The 22618-nt window shown below is 42.5% G+C and overlaps 1 protein-coding gene and 1 non-coding gene across 18 annotated transcripts in view; both read right to left on the minus strand.

The window, feature by feature from the left end:
* The window catches only part of HSF2BP (heat shock transcription factor 2 binding protein), a 214517-nt gene that overhangs the window by 143240 nt on the left and 48659 nt on the right, over positions 1–22618 (minus strand). For 12 of the 17 annotated variants that reach the window (XR_007067782.1, XR_007067781.1, XR_007067780.1 and 9 more), the window contains one exon: positions 4014–4117. The exons of the other annotated variants lie outside the window; for them this stretch is intronic. Coding sequence is in view for 9 of the 12 variants with exons in the window: in XM_017028269.2 (XP_016883758.1) it covers positions 4014–4117 (104 nt within the window). In the remaining 3 variants the exon portion in view is untranslated. The remainder of the gene's footprint in view (positions 1–4013; positions 4118–22618) is intronic. 17 annotated transcript variants of the gene reach the window in all.
* On the minus strand, positions 21676–21778 carry MIR6070 (microRNA 6070). Its single transcript, NR_106718.1, has one exon. It is a non-coding gene; the product is annotated as a microRNA 6070 (primary transcript).

Raw genomic sequence — 22618 nt, forward strand, 5'->3', positions numbered from 1 at the left:
AACTAAAATTACAAATATTAGCCAGGTGTAGTGGCAGGCACCTGTAATTCCAGCTACTTGGGAGGCTGAGGCAGGAGAATCGCTTGAACCCAGGAGGCGGAAGTTGCAGTGAACCAAGATTGCATCACTGCACTCCAGCCTGGGCAACAAGAGTGAAACTCCATCTCAAAAATAAATAAATAAATAAATAAGAAGTCATCCAGCACTAAGGCTTCCACCCGAGACATGTCCTGCTGAGCAGCAGTCCTGTAGCGTTGTTGGGAAACAGGGTCTGGAGCCAGGCGGTCGGGGTCTCAAATCTCAGCTCCACCACCCCATAACTATATAACCTTGGCACCTTACTCACTTCCATGCCTCAGTTTCTTCATCTATGATACAGAAACAGTATTTACCTTACAGGGTACTGACAGACATAAATGTAACAAACGTAACACACTTAAAGCCATGACTGGTACTCAAGAAGTATTAGGTATTCTTATTTAATTATTCTCTCCCTGGCACCACCAGCATCCTCTCCCACAGACTGACACTGTCCGCTTGCTCACGGCCCGTAACAACCAGCCTGAATAGTTACCTTACAGGTCAGGTCTAGGAACCACCTCTGATTCTATGATTCTTGAGAGGAAAAAAGCTGTCTGGTCAAGTATCCAACCCTGGTGGGTAAGTGTTGTCAATGGAGTACAAGCATAGCCCCCTGGACCTGCCCTCAAACTGTGGAGGGTCTAGGGCTTTACCCTACTTGCAAGCTTGCAAGCTAACAAGCTAGCATGCTAGAGTCTTACAGACACTGGCAGAAGACACAAACTCTTGAGTCTGAGACCAAGAACTTGTTATAGCAACAGCCATAGCCAGAGCATTTATGCCAGTTTAAGACCCAATTCCACAAGGCCACATACATGCTGTGTGGGCTGTGTCACAGGAGAGGAACCCCAAGCTCTGGCTGAACTTTGCCCTAGAGGGAAACATTATCTTTACTACATAAGGGTAAACAAACCTACCCTTTTTGCTCTGGAAGGAGACAGTATCTCTGTCCTCTAAGGATGTCTGCTATACACACATCCTTGAAAAGCTAGCCAGAAACAAAGGAGGTCAGTTCCTCTGCTCTTAACACATGAAGAAACAGGAGTGACCCTTGTGTCTCGACAATATCTAAATAAATGAAGACATATACTTGTGTTCATGGATTGTAAGTCTCAATATTGCTAAAGTGTCAATTATCCCCCAAAATGAACTGTTGATTCAACACAATCCCAATAAAAATTCCAACAGGATTCTTTTTGGTAGCAAGTGACGAGCTGATTTTTAAATTCATATGGAAAGGCAAAGGGCTTAAAAATAGCCAAAACAACCTTGAAAGAGAACAAAGTTGGACGACTTATACTACCTGACTTTAAGATTTATTATAAAGCTATCAAGATTTATTATAAAGCATGGTATTGGCATAATGATCCAAAAATAGATGAATGGAACAGAACAGAATCCAAAATGACCTTCACATGTATTGTCAACTGACTGTCAACAAGGTGCAAAGGCAATTCCCTGGAGAACAAAGTCTTCAAAACAAATGGTACTGGATCAACTAGATAGAAAGTCTTATGCAAAAAAACAAAGCAAACGATAAAAATAAAAACAACAACAACAACAAAAACTCTCACCACAAACAGATACCAATTCAAAACAAATCATATACCTAAACGTGAAATGCAAAACTATAAAACTACTAGGAGAAAACACATTAGAAAACCTTTGTGACACTGATTTAGGAAAAAATTTCTACAACAAAAGCATGCTTCTTCGAAGAAAAAGAATTATAAACTTTATCACAATTAAGATAGGTCTTCTGCTCTTCAGAAGATGCTCTTAAGAGAATGAAAGATGAGCCACAAGCTGGGAAAAAATATTTTTCCAACACATTTGTCAAAGGACACAAACCGAATACATAAAGAACTCTCAATATTCAGTAAGAATCTATCCAATTTTTTTAAAATAAACAAAACATACAAACAGATATCATCAAAGAAGTTACGTGAATGGCAAAACATGAAAAGATACTCAACATCATTAGTCACAACAAAAATACAAATTAAAACCACAGTGAAGTATCACGGTATCCCTATTGGAATGTCTAAAATTAAAGAGAATGACCATACACTAATACAATGCTGCTGGGAATGTAAGATGGTACAAGCACTTTGGAAAACAGGGTGGCAGTTTCATAAAAACTAACATGCACCTACCACATGTCTCAGTGATCCCACTTCTAGGTATTTACCCAAGACAAACAAAAGCATATGTCCATGCAAAGACTTGTACAAGAATGCTCCCAGCAGCTTTATGTATAGTAGTCAAAAGCTGGAGACAACCCAAATGTCCATCACTAGCTGAATGAATACACAATTGTGGCATATCCACAACATGGAATATTTAGCAATAAAAAATAATGACCTATTAATAGACACATGGATAGACATGGATGGGTCTCAAAATCAACATGGATGGATCTCAAAATAATTATGCTGAGTGAAAGAAGCACGGCAAAAAAGAATACAAACTATGATTCCACTTATATAAAATCAAAGAAAATGAAAACTAACTACAGCGCAGAAAGGAGGCGAGTCACTCTCTGGAAAGCAGGGAGAGGAGCAGGAAGGAGGGACCACAAAGGGGCACAAAGTGCCTTTGGAGGTGATGGGTTTGCACATTACCTTGATTGTGATAATAATTTTACAGGTGGACATTTATATCAATACTTATCAATTGTTCACTTTAAATATATGCAACTTATTACATGTCGATTACACATCAATAAAGCTATTTTTTAAAAAAGCATTCACCACCAAATGGAACTGACACTAAAAAAAAGAGGTTAATTTGAATCATAAAAAAATAAGGAAAATTAATTTATTTTTATACATGGGTGAAATGTATACTCATTAAACAACATATAGTGTTAAAAATTATGATGAAATTGGGACAGAACTTTAGGTTAGATTGGTAGTTAAGGGTGAAGAGGAAAGGATGCAGTAAAGATAGCTTTTTAAAGAAATTTTAAAACACACACATACTATACATGTGTACTTCTCTTCATAGCTGCAGTGTCTTTCCAATTTCTTTTTACCCAAATTATTTAACAATGGGTCTTCTCTTTTATCTGACAGAACCACATACCCACATAGAGTACTGTGCTGTAATAGAGAATGGGATAGGCTGATGCTGTTTACCTGCTGTTTTATAAGAGACAATTTCTCTTTGTGTTGTAGGGACACCAGTAAATTATAACCAAATTGAAAGCAATACTTCAGAAACAGAACTAGAGTAAACTTAACATACCAAGAAATTTTCTAAAATTTGACTTTTTTTAAAAGAAAGAACATCTTACAATCAATCCTACTTTCTAATACTTTAAAATTTCCTTCAGCTACAGAAGAACAGGTATACAGTAGGCCCCTCTTATCCACAGTTTCACCTTCCACAGTTTCACTTAGCCAGTCAACCATGGTCTGGAAACATCAAATGGAAAAATCCAGAAATAAACAATTCTTAAGTTTTAAATTGCACACCATTCTGCGTAGCATGATGAAATCTCATGCTGCCATCCCACTCCATCCCATCAGGGACATGAATCATCCCTTTGTCCAGCATATGCTATGCGCCCTTTAGGTCACTCAGTAGCTATCTAGGTCATCAGGTCAACTGCTGTAGTACCACAGCACTGTTGTCCAAGTAACCCTTATTTTACTTAATAATGACCCTAAAGCACAAGAGTAGCGGTGCTGGCTTATTATTATAATTGTTCTATTTTATTATTAGTTGTTGATAACCTCTATGCCTAATTATAAATTAAACTTTACATACAGATGTATGAATGTTTAAAAATATAGTATATAGAGAGGATTTGGTGCTATCTCTGGTTTCAGACATCTACTAGGAAACTTGGAACGTATGCCCCGTGGATAAGGGAGGACTACTGCATAACCCGTACAAGCAGCTGGACAGATAACCACCCCCCTTACCACTCAAAAGCCACCACAGCAAAGGGATGAATCCTGGACTCTCGCTGATGTATTTCAAGCCTTTCAAATTGATGCTTACATTGTATAGGGACATCAGCATTAGCCTGAAATGTAAAAGAAAAAGGTGTTGGAATGCTCCATCCACACTACATTTCACCCTAAACATACCTACTAGTTAAGAGGAACTTAACGTATTTAGAGCTTCCCTCACATTTTAGATGTCCAATTCTATAATGTGAATTAATAACATCTGTCTACGTGAGGCTACAGGAAAATGGGAAACTTCAGCAATGATATCACATAATACCGCCTTTCATAGCCTCACATAATCAAGAGTCTCGATTGCAGAGAGGGTCCCACGGGAAGCCTCACAAACCATATTTATTGATTCATTTCTTTTATTACCAATCCTGCATTAACATACAGGTTACCCTCAATTTGTAAGAGTACTATACTCTCAAAGTTCAATTCAGCCATCTAAAACCTAATGACATATTTTCATTCAATGAACATTACGCATGACATCCAGGTAGCCAGGTCAGGCCACAGGACTACATAATCACAGTACAAGGAATGAAGAATACTACAACCCAACCATCCCTCACAACCAACAGAGCAGTTTACTGAATAGGACAGGACTTTATAAGCTGTTTTGGGATTGAACCGTGGCTGGCAATGCAGAGTCTGATGAAAGTCAGAAACTACAGGACTTTGGTTTCTGCAAATACTGCAAAATACAGAGAACCCAAACACTTTACACTGCAGAGCAATAAAAAGGCTAGACAAATATTTTTTGCAAAGCCTTTGAAATAATGAATGAATTTGCAAGAAATCAAAGGAAAACATCTCTGATCAGGAACAAAGTAAGAGCACAAAATCTTAGAGGAAAGTGCAAAAGATGCTACAATTCCAAAAGACTAGAGCTTCAGTTACAGTGGCTTCACGCAGAGGGACCGAGCGAAAAGCCTCAGAGAGACACGGACATTCATTTCACAGGCCCTGCAGAAACCAGAAGAGAGGAAACTTTCAAGCTTAGCATGAATTCACATTTTTGGCAGGCCTGAAAAATCCCCAAGCCAGTAATTTTAATATAAAACAGACCTGGGATAGAAGCTCCCCCAGCTTCCTGGACATTAAAGGAAAGGATCCTCAACCTGGTCTTCAAAGAATTCCCACAAATACATACTAGCAAATGGGAGTTCATAACAAAAATCATAATATGACGCATGAGAAAAAGAAGACCAGGTAAGCAACAGCCAGCACAAAGAACCAATAACAGGGCTAGAACCAAAAATTTTTCAGATACTAGAAGTATCAACTGCAGAATATAAAACTGGTATGTTTAATGGGTGAAGATAATTTTAAAAGAAATTAAAAACATAATCAAGAAGCTAGGATTACTATTTTGAATGACCAGCCAATTCAAAAATAACAGCAGAATGTACAAAAATGAAAACAATAATTAAAATGTAAAACTCAAGGGTAATTAGACACATGGAAAAGGAGAAATACTAAACAGAAAAGACAGCTTAAGAAACTACAGCAAGAAAGAAAAACAGATTAAAGAAAGATAAAAGTACAAGGAGGCAAAGGTGGAAAAGTTCAACATTCTTCCAAATAGGGTCCACAAAGAAAGAACAGAAAGAATGAAGGAAAAAAATGTTTCAAAAATATTTCCCAGAAATGAGTAAATATAAACCCTCAGATTCAGGAGGCACAAAAACATCTCAAGAAAGATAAAAAATAAATACAAATCTACACACATCACAATCAAACTTTAGAAAATTAAAGACAAATTTTGTAAAGCAGCCAGAGAGAAAGGACATATTACCTATAAAAGAGTAATTACACCAAAAGCTGGGCTCTCTATATCTACCAAGGGTAAAGAGAAAATAATAATAAAGCTAGAATTGTGAACCCAGCAAAAATATTTTCAACAAAAGAGGTAAAGTAAAAATGTTGTCAAAGAAAATCTCAGACATTTTTAAATGTATCTGAACTGAAAGAATTTGAAGGACAGACTTCAGAAAAAGGAAAATGACGTTGGAAGAATGTTCTGAGATACAAGGAGGGAGTAAGTAAAGGGATGTGAGTGTACAGAAGTAAACACTGGGGGGTAAAAGCAGTCATTAAAATGTCTACTCTATGGGATTTTTGAAACTTTTCAACAGAGCTAAGATACAGTCCATGAATGCATATAATCCAGGATGTAAGTATTAGAGCATTCTAAGATCCTTCTACTGTTTAGGTGAGAAAGACATTAATTACTTTCAAGTATACCAAATACATCAAATCATGCTTTAAAAAAGGGGCTATCACTGAAAGAAACAAGGGTAAACTTTCAAGACACTAGAAGAATAAAATGAACTCAGAAAAGATCTTAGTGACTTTGAAAGAAAGATAACAGAGTAAGACCCTGTTGAAAGAAAGAATAGAAAAGGAACGAAAAGAGAAGAAGGGAGAGAGAGAAGGAAGAAAGACGGTGGGAGGAAGGGAAGGAGGGAGACAGGGAGGGAGGAAGCGAGGGAGAAAGAGAGGTAGGGAGGGAAAGATAACTTGGAAAAATCATAATAAAAAGAAAAACAAAATATGACAGAATAAATAAATCCAATTATTTCATTAATCACAAATGTTAATGAACAGGATACTCCTATTAAAAGGCATAGATTATAGATGGTTAGATTAAAGGAAAAACAAAATGCAACCATGGACTGTTTCAAAGAAACACACCTGAAACAAAAGTTTCCAGAAAGGGGCCAGGAGTGGTGGCTCACACCTGTAATCCCAGCACTTTGGGAGGCCAGGGTGGGCAAACTGCTTGAGGCCAGGAGTCCAAGACCACCCTGGCCAACATGGCAAAACCCTGTCTCTGCTGAAAATATTAAAAAATAGCCACATGTGGTGATGTGTACCTGTAGTCCCAACTACTAGAGAGGCTGAGGCAGGAGAATCTCTTGAATGCAGGAGGCAGAGGTTATAGTGAAGCAAGATCGCACCACTGCATTCCAGCCTGGGCAACAGAGTGAGACTCTAAAAAAAAAAGTTTGCAGAAAGTTGAAAGTAAAAGAATGGGAAAAGATATATCAAACAAATACTAATGAAAAAAGAAGAAAGAGAAGGCTGAGGTAGCTACATTAACAGAAAAGAAAACAGACTGAGTGCAGTGGCTCAGGCTTATCATCACAACACTTTCAGAGGCTGAGGTGGGCGGGCAGCTTGAGCCCAGGAGTTGGAGGTCAGCCTGGGCAACATGGCAAGACCCCGTCTCTGCAAAAAATACAAAAACAGCTGGGCATGATGGCACGCCCCTGTGGTCCCAGCTACTGGAGCAGCTGAGGTGGGAGGATCACTTGAGCCCAGGAGGTCGAGGCTGCAATGAGCTGTGACAGTGCTACTACACTCCAGCCTGTGTGACAGAGCAAGACCCTATCTCAAAAATAATAACTAAAAATAATAATAATGTTAAAAGAAGGGAAAGCATCTTTAAAAATTAAGAGGCTAATTTTTTTTTTTTTTTTTTTTTTTTTTTTTTTTTGTGAAACAGAGTTAGAGTGCAGTGGCGCCATCTCGGCTCACTGCAACCTCCGCCTCCTGGGTTCAAGTGACTCTCCTGCCTCAGCCTCCTGAGTAGCTGGGATTACAGGCATATGCCACCACACCCAGCTAATTGTTGTATTTTTAGTAGAGATGGGGTTTCACCATGTTGGTTAGGCTCTCGAACTCCTGACCTCATGATCCGCCCACCTCAGCCTCCCAACGTGCTGAGATTACAGGCATGAGCCACCACGCCCGGCAAGGCTAAATATTTCATACTGAAAAGTTCAGTTCATCAGGAGGGTAGCATTTTAAACTTGTATGTACCTAATAATATAGCCTCAAAAATACATAAAGGCACAAATTGATAAAACTACAAGAAAATGCTGACCAGTCCACAATAATGGTAGATTTTAAGGCACCTCTTATAGCACTTAATACATTAAGCTGATTCTCTGATCCACCACATAATTAAGTTAAAAATCATTTTTTAAGTAGGTTTTAAAACTCCAACATTTAGAAAACTGAAAGTACATCTCTATAAGAATAAGTCAAAGAAATTATGAGGAAAATTGGGAAACTGAACAAGAATGAATATACAAAAATAAAACTTGTGATGCTAGTGAAATACACACACACACACACACACACACAGCCTTTAATACTTATTCCAGAAAAAAATAGCTGCAGCAATGGCAGAGTAACTTGCATTGGACTAACCCTCCACCAATAAGAATCACAAATTCTGAACAAAATATAGGAACCATTTAAGGGGAATGGAAAGCAGCCAAAGGCAGGCAGAAACTGAAGAGAAGTGCCCCCTTGAAAGAAGAGGGGTGGCTCATGCCTATAATCCCAGCACTTTGGGAGGCCAACATGGGAAGACTGCTTGAGCCCGGAGTTCAAAACCAGCTTGGGCAACACAACAAGATCCCATCTCTTCATTAAAAAACAAACAACAACAGAAAAAAAACCATTAGATAGGCATGGTGACACATGCCTAGAGTCTCAGCTACTCGGAAGGCTGAGGCAAGAGACTTACTTGAGCCCAGGGATGTCAAGGCTGCAGGGTTGTGACGGTGCCAGCCACTGCACTCTGGCCTGCGTGACAGAGCAGGACCCTGTCTCAAAAAAAAAAAAAAAAAAAGAGAATTTTTTTTTATAAAGAGGCAAATATATTGAGGTTTAGACAAGGCCACATAGCACCAGGCAGCGACCCTCAATCAGAAACCTGGGGATGACCAGCTTGAGAAGTAAAACCACAGAGTCCAGGGTCACCAGGGTGGAAAGAAAGGGAAGAAGATACCTAGAAAGGAGGGTTTCAGAACAAGGGAGCACTAAAATGTGCATGAAAACCCTCCAAGGTCCTGGCCTCTAAATGGCACAAGTGTGAGGCAGAGAAAGAGGGAGAGCTGCAAGGCAGAGGAATGAGGCACAGCTCTGCTGCAGACCACATCCAGAGAGCCAGAGCTCAGGTATGAGTCAGGCAAAGCTGACAGCCAGCTAGGACACACATAATTCCCTTCAGGAAAAGATAACAGAGTCCAGAGCCCCCACAACCTACCTTCTGCCACCTCCAGTACACATGCTATCAAATAAACACTGAACTAGCACAGCCGGCTAGGATGAGGAGAGTAAGCCACTTGCTTTGGGTGTAAATTTAAGGGAGTATCAAAATGCCCAGTGGCCCATATTTTTAAAAATGTAATGCAATATTTTAAAAAAATATATTAAAAATGCCCTAATAAGCAAAACTTTAATTTTTTACTTTTTTTTCCTAGAGCTAGGGTCTCACTTTGTCACTCAGGCTGGAATGCAGTGGCACAGTCATTATTCACTGCCACCTAGAATTCCTGGGCTCAAGCAATTCTCCTGCCTCAGCCTCCTGAGTAGCTGAGACTACAGGCATGTGCCACCACACCCAGCTTATTTTTTAATTTTTTGTATGAGGTCTTGCCATCTTGCCAAGGCTGGTCTTGAATTCTCGGCCTCAGGCAATTTTCCCACGTCGGCCTCCCAAAGTGCTGGGATTACAGGCATAAGCCATTGTGCCCAGCCCAAAATTTTAAATAAAGATGGAACTGGTCACATACTGGAGCCTAAGGCAAAAGGAAAAATCAGTAATACTGACCAAGTCCATTATAAAGGGACTAACTAAATATACTATGGTACATGTAACACATGCATGCCATAGAAAATTTCTATTGTAGTTCTCTATTAAAATCTCTGGTTTCCCCACTAAACTTTGTCAAAAGCAAGCTCCGTGCCTTATCTTTATCATCTCACAAACTAGTATAGTAAGACTGGACACAATAAGCACTCAATTTATCTACTGAAAAGTGAATCAACTCCCAGTGATTAAAGATCAAAATATATAAAAGCTAAGGTCTTCCTTCTCACCCATGTGACCATAGGCACTTTCTTTTTTTTTGTTTTTTTGTTTTTTTGTTTTGAGACAGAGTCTCGCTCTGTCGCTGAGAGAGACAGACAGGCTGGAGTGCAGTGGTGCAATCTCGGCTCCCTGCAACCTCCACCTCCCAGGTTCCAGCAATTCTCCTGCCTCAGCCTCCTGAGTAGCTGGGACTACAGGCGTGCACCACCACACCCGGCTAATTTTTGTGGGTTTTTTTGTTTTTTTTTTTTAGTAGAGACGGGGTTTCACCATGTTGGCCAAGCTGGTCTCAAACTCCTGACCTCAGGTGACCCACCTGCCTTGGCTTCCCAAAGTGCTGGCATTACAGGCATGAGCCACCATCCCTGGCCGACCATGGGTACTTTCAAAGTCCCTGGCAATGCTCTGGAGCCAGAAAAGACAGAGCTATGCAAGCACCCTCCAGAACAGGGTGCTCAGTTCTCAAAACAAGGTCCTCAGCCTCCCAGCGGGCTACAAAATAAGCCACACTGCAAGTTCTTTCAAGTTTCACTGACAATTTTTACATGAATTCAAAAGCTACTCACTAGTAACCTATTTAATGAGGTATTAAGGGCTACTCAAATGTAGTGTTCATGAGGAAAATTTAGCACCTTAACTAGAATTCAGTGAGGTGTCGAATCCAGTATTCCAAGAAAAGTTCCTGCTTCAGATCACAAACACAGAGAGTTGGAATTCCTTAGAATTAAATATATTGCCCAAGGCTGCTTTCACACAGGCAGTAACAGCAGAACTGAGTCACCGCAACAGAGATCGTACGACCCCAAGAGCCTAAAATATTTTCTGTCTGACACTTTACGGAAAAAGTTTGCTGACCTCTGCCTTACAGCATGAAACTAAGATAAACCAATCTTCTGTATGTCTTAAAAAGCAAAGCTAGCATCTGGTAATAACTGTAATACAGGGAAACCTTCTGAAAAGATGGCCAGTTGAAATTCTTTGCTGACTGCCATTTAGATTTAAGGTGGCAAAAACAACTCCCAAGTTGGCAGATGTCTTTAAATTTTCATATTTGGTCAAAATCAGTTATCCTTAAGAAGCTAAAATGAAACACATACTTACAACAACCATGTTGCCACCTGAGACCTCACGTCACTGCCAAGATACATCTCACAGAAGACCAAAGACTTCTAGGTCACACAAGAGTTAGCAAAAAATAAACCCAAAAAACTGTTTCTTATGCAAATGTTTCGTCTAATATAACATTTCTATTCCAACCAAAAATATTTGTAAATAGTGTATCAAGTTTCCAATTATCAAGTCTAAAGAGACTGCCCATTCATTTTACTCTTCTAGTATTGAAATATTAAATGTTATTTCTTGGCCAGATGCAGTGGCTCATGCCTGTAATCCCAGCACTTTGGGAGGCTGAGGCGGGCAGGTCACTTGAGGTCAGGAGTTCGAGACCAGCCTGGCCAACATGGTGAAACCTCATCTCTACTAAAAATACAAAACTTAGCTGGGCGTGGTGGCGCACACCTGTAGTCCCAGCTACTCGGGAGGCTGAGGCAGGAGAATCATTTGAACCCGGGAGGCAGAGGTTGCAGCGAGCCAAGATGGCACCACTGTACTACAGCCTGGGCAATAAAGTGAGACTCGGTCTCAAAAAAAAAAGGAAGAAAGAAAATGTTATTTCTCAAACTAGTGTACTAAGTGTTAGACTTTTTCTTCCAATGACAAAAAAAAAAAAAAAAAGTAGGCAAATTCTGCTTCCTGCCACAAACCTCAGCAGAAAACCTGTTATACATGGGACTAACAGGCTCCAAAAGAGCAACTTCCCAGTCTCTGCAGTCTTGATCATCTAAGACACATCTGACATTTAAAAGGACTGAAAATATGGCTAAAATAAAGGTACTGGTGAACTCGAAATGCTACATAAGCAACACGAGTAACTCATCTTCGATAAAAAGCAAGTTCTCTTTACCTAAATATACAAGGTCTCAGGGCTGAACAAGCACAAGGTGTGAAAAGCAAGAAAGCACTCCTCCACAGGCCAACACAACTGAGTCACTAAAGGTAAAAGTGACAACTTGACCACCTTATTCTTCATCTTAAAAGAAAATATAACTTGCAACCTACGAGTAACAGAATAAACACGCCCAGTACTTCAAAACAAACTAGCAATAAAAATAAGCAAGAAAAAGGAGTATCTGTGAAGTTCACTGCTCAGAAACAAGCCAATCAGTGATGCTAAACTGACCAAAATCTAAGGTAGTCAAATTAGCACCATAAAGTAATTCTACTGTACAATAAGTAATAAAATTCTTACAAAAGACTGCATGTAATTTGAGAAAGCAATTGGCACAGCAATATTACATTTTTAGACCAAATTATTCTTGACAGAAACTTAAGAGGCCTACCAATTTTTCATTAGACAGAGTACAGTAAGTAATGACTTAACAGACTTTAGATTCTGTGCCTCTTTCCTCAGTCAAGTTAGAACCTAAAAACCTGTGGTCTATATCATGTCATCCTCAAATATCTGTATGTCAATTTGTATCTATTATGTTACAATGAAGACATACAAAAAGATATAAAGAATAATACAATACCCACCTCCCTGGTTAAGAAAGAAACCCTATAACCAGAGTTGAATTCCCTTGGTGAACGCTACCCAAAGGCGTGCTTCAGGGAGGTGTAACCACAGCTATGTCTGATATTTAAACTAGCCACGCATTGCTAATACTTTAGGTATGGAATCTTTTTTCTTTGCACGTCTGCATCAACAGCAGCATACTGCAGGCAATCTTCCACGCCATGGTGAGATTTGTTTATGTTGATTTCTATAGCTCCAACCTATTTCCACTGATATATGCCAACTTTTTAACTAATCACAATTTATTTATCTGTTCTCCATCTTGTAGACATTTAGGTAATTTCCTAGTTTGTGCTATTACAAACACCACTGCTATAACATTTTCTGTACAAGCATCCTGGTATCCTATGGAAAACGTTCTCTGGAGTACACATGCAGACGGGGACTCTGTCCTCGGCATGTGCAGACACAGCCTCCACAGACACAGGCCAGCTGGCTCCACGTACCCTCCAGCAGCACATGGACAGGTGTAAGCTTCACTGTGGCTTCACGTCCAATCGGAAGCTTGTAATCATCAGACTGTGATTTTTTTTTCAATGAGAGGCACCGAAAAGGCATCTTATTAGGGTTATAATTTGCTTTCCCCTGATTACTATGGAGAGCAAGAATCTTTCCCATGTTTATGAAGCTGCTGCGTGTTTTATTCTATAAATTGCCTGATTTTTTTCTTTTGCCTATTTGTGTATTTGGTTATTTGCCTTTTCCTTATTGAAAAGGCCAAATAAGCAAATTACTTAGCTATACCTGTTTTTTCTTAAAATGTACACAGAATGACCAAACTAGACAGGGTAAAACCCAAAAATGCCTTTCAGAAGAGCCGATGTTCACAGCACCATCTACCAATTTATAACTCAACAGAGACCAATTCAGTGGCTGGTAAGCACATTGTAGCTGAAAGCTGTACCACCTGGAAATAATACACATTAGTTCACAGGCCCCAAATGACTTCCAGATATTGACTTTTGTTAATATCTGGAAATGATGAGGACTCTAAACTTAGGAATTTGAACATTATCTAGATACAGTTTGTCTTGAAAACATACTTCCTTCATTAGGACAATTAATTGTAATGCAATGTCTTAAAATTATCTTACAAGATCCCTAATGATAACTTTCCTATCTAGAGTTACTAAAGCTTTGACTGGAAACTGGTTAGAAACCCCATCATGTCTGAAGATTTCTTTTCAGCCAATACTTATGTGAAAAAGGGATCGGGCCACCAAAATGCACAGTAACACTCTGTAGAACTTTTAATAACAAACAAGGGAGAACCACACCCAGAAAGTGAGGATTTGCTCTCACTCATCATGCAACATTTACTGAGCATCTTCTCTGTCCTGGACTCCACACTCTCCAGAAGTTTACAGGAAACGGGAGAGAGACAAACAAAGCAACTAGTGAACAAAGTGTGGTACAAGCTTCACAGCTTCCTCTCCACACTTAGTTCTAAAAGGCTGCTATTGTCTTAAGACATTTTGTGGAAACACTTCTAGAAGCATCTTCGAAAAATGCAATCTGCACTGTGACTATTCCAGACGAATTCTTTGGAAAACGGGAGCTTGTGGGTGGCTCCAACCTGCAGATGCAGCCACACAGCTACTCCACAGAGAAATGGGACGATACCATCACCCTCATTTGCCCACAAAGGTGAGCTGGTTTTCCTGCAGAGCTCAGAGCTGCTTCTGAAGTCATCTGCACAAAGAACCCAGAAACTTTCACAAGCCATACTCTCACTGATGACATTCAACTGGTAACACCTGGGGAAGATGCTGGGCAGGATAAACCAACAGTAACTTCGAGAAACAGGAACCACATAGAGCCCAAACTCCAAGAGGCATTTCTGTAACCCTCTACCCTGTGCCTGGATGAGAAAACCTTGCTGAGCCACTGTTCTCCCACACATGCCAAATATTCTCTGGCCCATTGACAGTGAAATGCACTGTGTCAGTTACCTCAGCTTAGTAAAAGCAGAGGTGTTCTCATCACAGACACTACACCCCAACTGGAAATCCAAGGAGAGGGTTATCCTGAGAACCAAGTGACCATTCAGGAATGTGGGTAGCTCCCACCCCAGAGGCCTCTCTCCTCACTCGGGATGAAGAACCACCTTAAACTCTGGGCCTTCTGCCATCCCCTTCAATAACACCTCCAGCAGGTCTGACCTGAGAAGCCGCTAGTGTAGATGTGAAAAGGCCTTTCATGGCCTACTCAAGGACTGGTAAAATCATAGGCAGCGTGGGCAGTGAGGAAAAAAAATAACCCGGCCTCCATAAGGAAGTACAAAAAAAGGAAGGGAAACTTTAAACGCTGGAGAAATCCACAAGTCTAATAAAAAAAATAATAATTGCAGTTGCCTAAGTGTTACCAAGTATCAAGGAGGATGGAAACGCCAGGGTCATGTCACAGCAGCGGAGAAAGAGGAGCCGTAGAAAGGAGACTCTGGGCCCTCCACATGCAGCTCAGTGCCAGGACAGCGCTCAGGGCCCCCCGCAATCCCAAGGTCCAGGCACAGCACAGATCCTGCCCACACCAGGCCCTGGGAGCACAAGCCTGGGTGACCAGTGGCCGGAGGGGAAGGAAATGGACTGAGGTGGTGACGAAGGGGGACACTCCTGACACATGTCATTCCATGGCTGAATGACTAAGGAGAAATACACAGAGATGAAACAGACAGAACCCTGCCAGGGGCATGCCACCAGCTGACTGCACTGAACTGCCGCAGCCTTGGCTGACAGAGCTCACCCTGCACACAGTTCTGTCAAGTGGCCATCTCCAGCAGACACCTGAGAGGCTGATGGGAATGGGGAAAATTACCCATGAGGTATGGCTAAGACTGAAAAGCTATGACCACTACAGTAAACAGAATCCAGTCATCCTGCTGGCAGCACCAACCACCTTGAGGGGCCTCCAAGGTCAGCTGGTGTGTCTGGCCACCATATGCTGGAAGTTCCTAGATTTGGAGAGTTAAAAACAGGGTCTTCACAAAAAAAGGCAGATAAACTAGGAACAGCCCGAAACCATATGGCTGGGGAGGCTATGCCACTGAAAAAACTCACAGAGGCTGAGTCACAACAATGTCCCATGTACAACCCTATGAATGTTTGCCACAAAAGACATGGACATGTGGCCCAATAGCAGAATCCAGTCTGATCCACCACTGACCTGCAGGGCCCACAGGGATTTCTGGGGGAGGCAAAAAGAACACACCATGAGCCAGCTCTGCATTCTGGGAAAATGCAACATGTCATGGTAAACGCAGGCTGGCTAGTGGTTTGAAAGGGCAGCCGTGGCCTGGGAAGACAAAAGGCTAAACAGGAGCCAGTGGAGCAGGAGCGCTGGAAATACTGGAGCAAGAAATGACAGGCAACAGGGCACATCCCAGAGGAAGGCTCAACACAGAGGCAGGAGGATTACACACACACACCACAGCACACAGCACACACCACACACCACTCACCACTCACACACATCACACATACCACACACCACTCACACACATCACACACACCACACACACCATGCACAAACCACAAACACACCACACACACACACATCACGCACACACCACACACACACCACACAGCACGCACACCACACACACACCACACACACTACACACACACCATACACACCCCACACACCACACCACACACACACCACGCACACACCACACACACAACACACAGCACGCACACCATACACACACACACCACACACTACACACACTATACACACCCCACACACACACCACACACACCATACACACCCCACACACATTGCACACACACCAATATACACACACCACCATACACACATCACACATACCACATCATACACCACACAATCATACAGCACACACACCACACACACACCACACACACACACCACCACACACCACACACACACTACACACTGCACTCACACGCATCTCAGACACCACATACACCACACACACACCACTCACACACCATACGCACACCACTCGCATGCCACACCACACACATGCCACACTACACGCCACACACACCACCCACATCGCACACCACACACACCACACATCACACACACCACACCCACACACCACATACACACCATACACTACACACCACACACATCACACACACACCACAAAGACACATCACATACCACAGACATCACACACCATACACCACACACACACTACACACCACACACACATCACACATCACACCACACACATCAGACACCACACACACATCACACACACCACATACCCACCACACACACACCAGACACCACACACATCACACGTACCACATAACACAACACACATACATCACACACATCACACACACACCACACAGATACCACACACACATCAGACACACCACACACACACCAGCTGACTGCACTAATTGCCCCAGCCTTGGCTGACAGAGCCCACACACCCACACCACACACATACCAGACACACACCACACACCACGCACCCACATCACACACCACAGATCACACACACATCACACCCCACACACAACACACCAGCTGACTGCACTAACTGCCCCAGCCTTGGCTGAAAGAGCCCACAAACACACATCACCCACCCCCCGACACACACACCACACACACACCACACATTCCCCACACCACACACACACTCCAACACACACACATACACACACCCCCACATATGCAGCCCACACACCCCCACACGCCACACCCACACACACACCCACACATATCCCCCCACGCACCTCCCACAAACACACATACCCCATACCCTCCACATGTACATACACACCACAAACATCCCCCAACATACACATACCACACACACACATCCCCCTCACATAGCCACACACACCATGCATACCACACCCACATCTCCACCCACACACAAAATACACACATCCCAATCCCTCATAGTCCCACATATACAAACACACCACAGTCACACACATCACATGACACCCACCTCCCCCCAACATATATACACACACACCACACACATTCCCTCACACTCACACCATAAACATGCCCCACACAAACGCATACACACCATACACCCCAAAAAATACCCACATACACATACACCACACCCAAATACATCCTCATTTCCCCACGCCCCGCCACATATACACACCCACACCACACACACACATCCAGGCCATACGTGCCTCTGACACGTGAGAAGAAAAAGCAAAGGGGAGTGGAATAAACAAGGGAGGGCCAAGCTGAGGCGGCCACACTCACACCCTTGACTCTGTGCAGCAGGAAGTAAAGCCGCCTGCCGGGACACCCACCTACCAAGGAAGAGCAGAGCAGGAAGTAAAGCCGCCTGCCGGGACACCCACCTACCAAGGAAGAGCAGAGCAGGGAGGCCGTGAGGATCACACCCGAGGTCTGCCTCCACCAGTGTGGAAATGAGTGGGAGCTGAGAAAGGACATAGAAGAGGATTCCAGGGTGCTGGAAACCGGGAGAAATGACGAGAGTCCGTGCACACAAGAAAGCTTCTTCCCAAACCTCACTCAACAGCCCCAGCTGTAGGAACAGAGAAGAAGGATGGCTGGGCTGATCCAAGGTTGAAAGCATCAGGAAATGTGATGCACACTGGGGCTGGGTGAGCTGGAGGGAGGGGAGGCCATGGAGGCAATGGTGTGAGCAGGAGGAAAGAGGAGGGAGGAGGAGCAGGAGGTCTTGCAGTTTAGAGGGAACAATGGTAGGAAAAGGAGGCAGGGAGGAGAGGAGGTATGGCCTGAGTGCTACAGCAATGTTTACCAGACAGTCCACCTGATGACAATGTGCAGGGTCTGGCCCAAGGCAGACTACTGCCACAGTGAAGGGCACAGCAAATCTTGGGAGCTGAGAAAGGCAGGTGGCCTTGAAATTAGATTGTTGAATGAATCACCCCTAAACATGTTCAAGTCATTCAAGATAGCAGGAAATGGGGAGGGGGACACCAACAAGCCAGTACTCAGTGAACAAGGGAAATGCCTGGATGGTCAGAAAAGTACAGTGATGAGAAAGGCTGGATGTGAAGAGAGCAACTGGTTGCTTGAATTTTCAAGGAGGAAAAAAATTCGCATGAGATTGGAAGAGAAACAGCCTTTTAAAAATGAGCATTCTGGGACATTTCATTAAAAATAAAAATGGGCAGCTAGAAGAAACACTTCCCCTAAGAACTGGAATAAGACATAGAGATATCCACTCTTACCGCACCTATTCAACACAGAACTGGAGGCCAGGTGTGGTGGCTCAAGCCTGTAGTCCCAGCACTTTGGGAAGAGCCAAGGAAGGCGGATCACTTGAGCTCAGGAGTTCAAGACCAGCTTGTGCAACATGGCGAAACCCTGTCTCTACAAAAAACTACAGAAATTAGTCAGGTGTGGTGGCACACACCTGTAGTCCCAGCTACTCAGGATGCTCAGGCAGGAGAATCGCTTGAGATCAGCAGGTCGAGGCTGCAGTGAGCCGTGATTATGCCACTGCACTCCAGCCTGGGTAAAAGGGTGAGACCCTGTCTCAAAAAAAAAAAAAAAGGTTCAAGCTGAGAGCCAAATCAACAACACAATCCTATTTACAACAGCCACACACACACACAAAAACCTAGGAATACATCTAACCAAGGGAGTGAAAGATCTCTTCAAGAAGAACTACAGAACACTGCTGAAAGAAGTATCATAGATGACACAACTGGAAAAACATTCATGTTCATGGACTGGAAGAATCAATATCATGAAAATGTCCAAACTGCCCAAAGCAATCTACAGATTCAATGCTATTGCTATTAAATTACCAACATCATTTTTCATAGAATTAGAACAAACTCTTCTAAAATTCTTATAGAACCAAAAAAGAGCCCAAATAGCCAAAGCAACGCTAAGAAAAAAGAACAAAGCTAGAGCCATCACACTGCCCACCTTCAAACTATACTACCAGGCTACACTAACTAAAACAGCATAACACTGGTACAAAAATAAACACATAGACCAATGGAACAGAATACAGAACCCAGAAATTAAAGCTGCACACATACAGCCAATTGACCTTTGACAACATTGACAAAAATAAGCAATGAGGAAAGGACTCCCTGTTCAATAAATGGTGCTGGGAAAAATAGCTAACCATATGTAAACGAATGAAACTGGACCACTACCTCTAACCACAGATAAAAATTAACTCAAGATGGATTAAGGACTTAAATGTAAGACCTCAAACTATAAAAGTCCTAGAACAAAATCTAGGAAATAGTCTTCTGGATATCGGCCTAGGCAAAGAATTTGACTGAGTCCTCAAAAGCAATTGCAACAAAACCGAAAATTGACAATTGGGACATAATTAAAATAAAGAGCTTCTCCACAGCAAAAAAAACTATCAACAGAGTAAACAGACAACCTACAGAATGGGAGAAAATATTCGCAAACTATGGATCCAACAAAAGTCTAATATCCAGAATCTATAGGGAAGTTAAGTTAAACAAATCAACAAGAAAAAACACACAACCTCATTAAAAAGCAGGCAAAGGGCAAGAACAGACACTTCTTAAAAGAAAACATATAAGCAGCCAACGAAACATGAAAAAATGCCCAACATCACTAGTCATCAGGGAAACGCAAATCAAAACCACAATGAGGTACTATCTCACACCAGTCAAAATGGCTATTACTAGAAAGTCAAAAAACATCATGTTGGCAAAACCACTGAAAAAAGGGAACTCGTATACACTGTTGGTGGGAATGTAAATTAATTCAGCACCTATGGAAAGCAGTCTGGAGATTTCTCAAAGAACTAAAAACAGACCTAGCATTCAACCCAGCAATCCCATTACTTGGTAAATAGCCAAAGGAAAATAAAATTGTTCTACCAAAAAGACACCTGCCCTTATAAGTTTATCACAGCACTGCTCACAATAGCAAAGATAAGTGGTGGCTCATGCCTGAAATCCCAGCACTTTGGGAGGCTGAGGTGAAAGGATCACTTGAGTTCAGGAGTTCAAGACTATCCTGGGCAAGAAAGTGAGACCCCTATCGCTACCAAAAAAAAAAAAATTTTTTTTAATTAGCCAGGCATGATGTCACATGCCTGTAATCCCAAGTACTTGGGAGGCCGAGGCAGAAGGATTGCTTGAGCCCAGGATTTTCAGACTGCAGTGAGATAAGATAGCACCACTGCATGCCAGTGTGAATGGAACAGCCAGACCCTGTCTCAAAAACAAAACTAAACAAAACAAAAATAGCAAAGACATAGAATCAACCCAGGTGTCCATCAACAGTGGATTGGATAAAGAAAATGTGGTACATACAAGCCATGGAATACTTCGCAGCCAGAAAGAAAGACCACCACCATGTCCTTTGCAGCAACATGGATGCAGCTGGAGGCTGCCTCCACTTATCTTAAGTGAATTAATCCAGAAGTAGAAAACCAAATATTGCATGTTCTCATTTATAAGTGGGAGCTAAACCCTTGGTATACGCGGACATAAAGATGGGAACAAGAGACACTGGAGACTCCAAAAGGAGAGAGGGAGGGAGAGGAACAAGGACTGAAAAATCTCCTATTGGGTACTATATCTACTATCTGAGTGACAGATTCAACAGAAGCCCAAACCTTGGCATCACGCAATATACTCTTGTAACAAACCTGCACATGTACCCCCTGAATCTAAAATTTAAATTTAAATTTTTTTAAAAAATGGGCAACTAGGAAAAAAATAACCCCTATCTCTGGGTCTAAGGTACTAACTGCTGAAAATGAGTGACCTTCGATCATGAAAGTGGCAGTGAAAGTGTAGTTCCCCAGAGAGAGGCAAGCTATACACAAGGCAGGGGGAGGCCAGGAAGAAAAGAGGCTGATTTATAGTATGAGAAAGGTCTTGGGGCTCCAGAGGACTCAAGGGTGGGCGTTAGTGAAGTGGGGGAGGTGAAAAGAGGGGAGAAGAGTGCCTTGGAGATGTGGTGAGACGGAACAAGCCATGAGCATGTTGGAAGGCAGCCAAAGATCCCAGGGGGAAGGCCCCTCTCAGGCTGGTGCATGCTGAGATCCCGAGTCAGGATAGAGGGTAAACACGCGGCTTTGCTCAGTGGCCAAATGGAAGACTGCCAAGAAAGTCAGTGAATGGCTCTGAAGGCAATTCTCCCCATCTCCCACTGCAATCAACAAGAGCTCACCAGGACCCAAAGGCACAGAGCTCCAGGGACTGGAACCGGAGAGGCTAGAAGTGACCCAGCCCTCACACACAGCTTTGCCTTGGAAGTTGAAGGGGGACTTTAGCTGGCCCATAAATATGGACCTTGTACAGACCACAGAAGCAAAAGAGGCAATGGATTAGTATCCAGAACACACAAAGACCTACAGCAGATCACTAAGAAAAATGCAGCCCAACAGGAAAGTGGGCACAAGACACAGACAGGTGACTCAAAGGAAAAACTGGAATGGTACAAACATGTGAAGAGCCTCAACCTCACTGGCAATCTAAATCTGAAGGAAGGGAGAGAAGGACAAAGACAGACAGATGATAGGTGGATGATAAAAATACTCTTTAAGGCCAGGTCCAGTGGCTCACGCTGTAATCCCAACATTCTGGGAGGCTGAGGCAGGTGGATCACTTGAGCTTAGGAGTTTGAGACAAGCCTGGGCAACAAGGTGAGACCCTGTCTCTACAAAAAATACCAAAAAAAAAAAAAAAATTAGCTGCGCATGGTGGCGTGCAGAGTAGCTGGGACCCCAGTTACTTGGGAGGCTGGGATGGGAGGATCACTTGAGCCCCAGAGGTCGCGGCTGCAGTGAGCCGTGATTGCACCACTGCACTCCAGCCTGGGTAACACAGCAAGACCCTGTCTCTCCCCCTCTTCCCCCGGCACCTCTCTCTCCATATACACATATATTTTTTCTCTTTAGAGGAATATAATAAATAGCAAAGTGCTGACAAGGACGTGGGAAACACGAACACTGACATGGTGCAGGTAGAAATGTACACTATGGTGACCAATTTGGCAGTATCTTATCAAATTGAAAATGTCCATGTACTACTTCTCAAATATTTCCTCTGGGAAAACTCCTGGAGA

Source organism: Homo sapiens, chromosome 21 (genome assembly GCF_000001405.40).
Source record: "Homo sapiens chromosome 21, GRCh38.p14 Primary Assembly".
Taxonomy (NCBI): domain Eukaryota; kingdom Metazoa; phylum Chordata; class Mammalia; order Primates; family Hominidae; genus Homo; species Homo sapiens.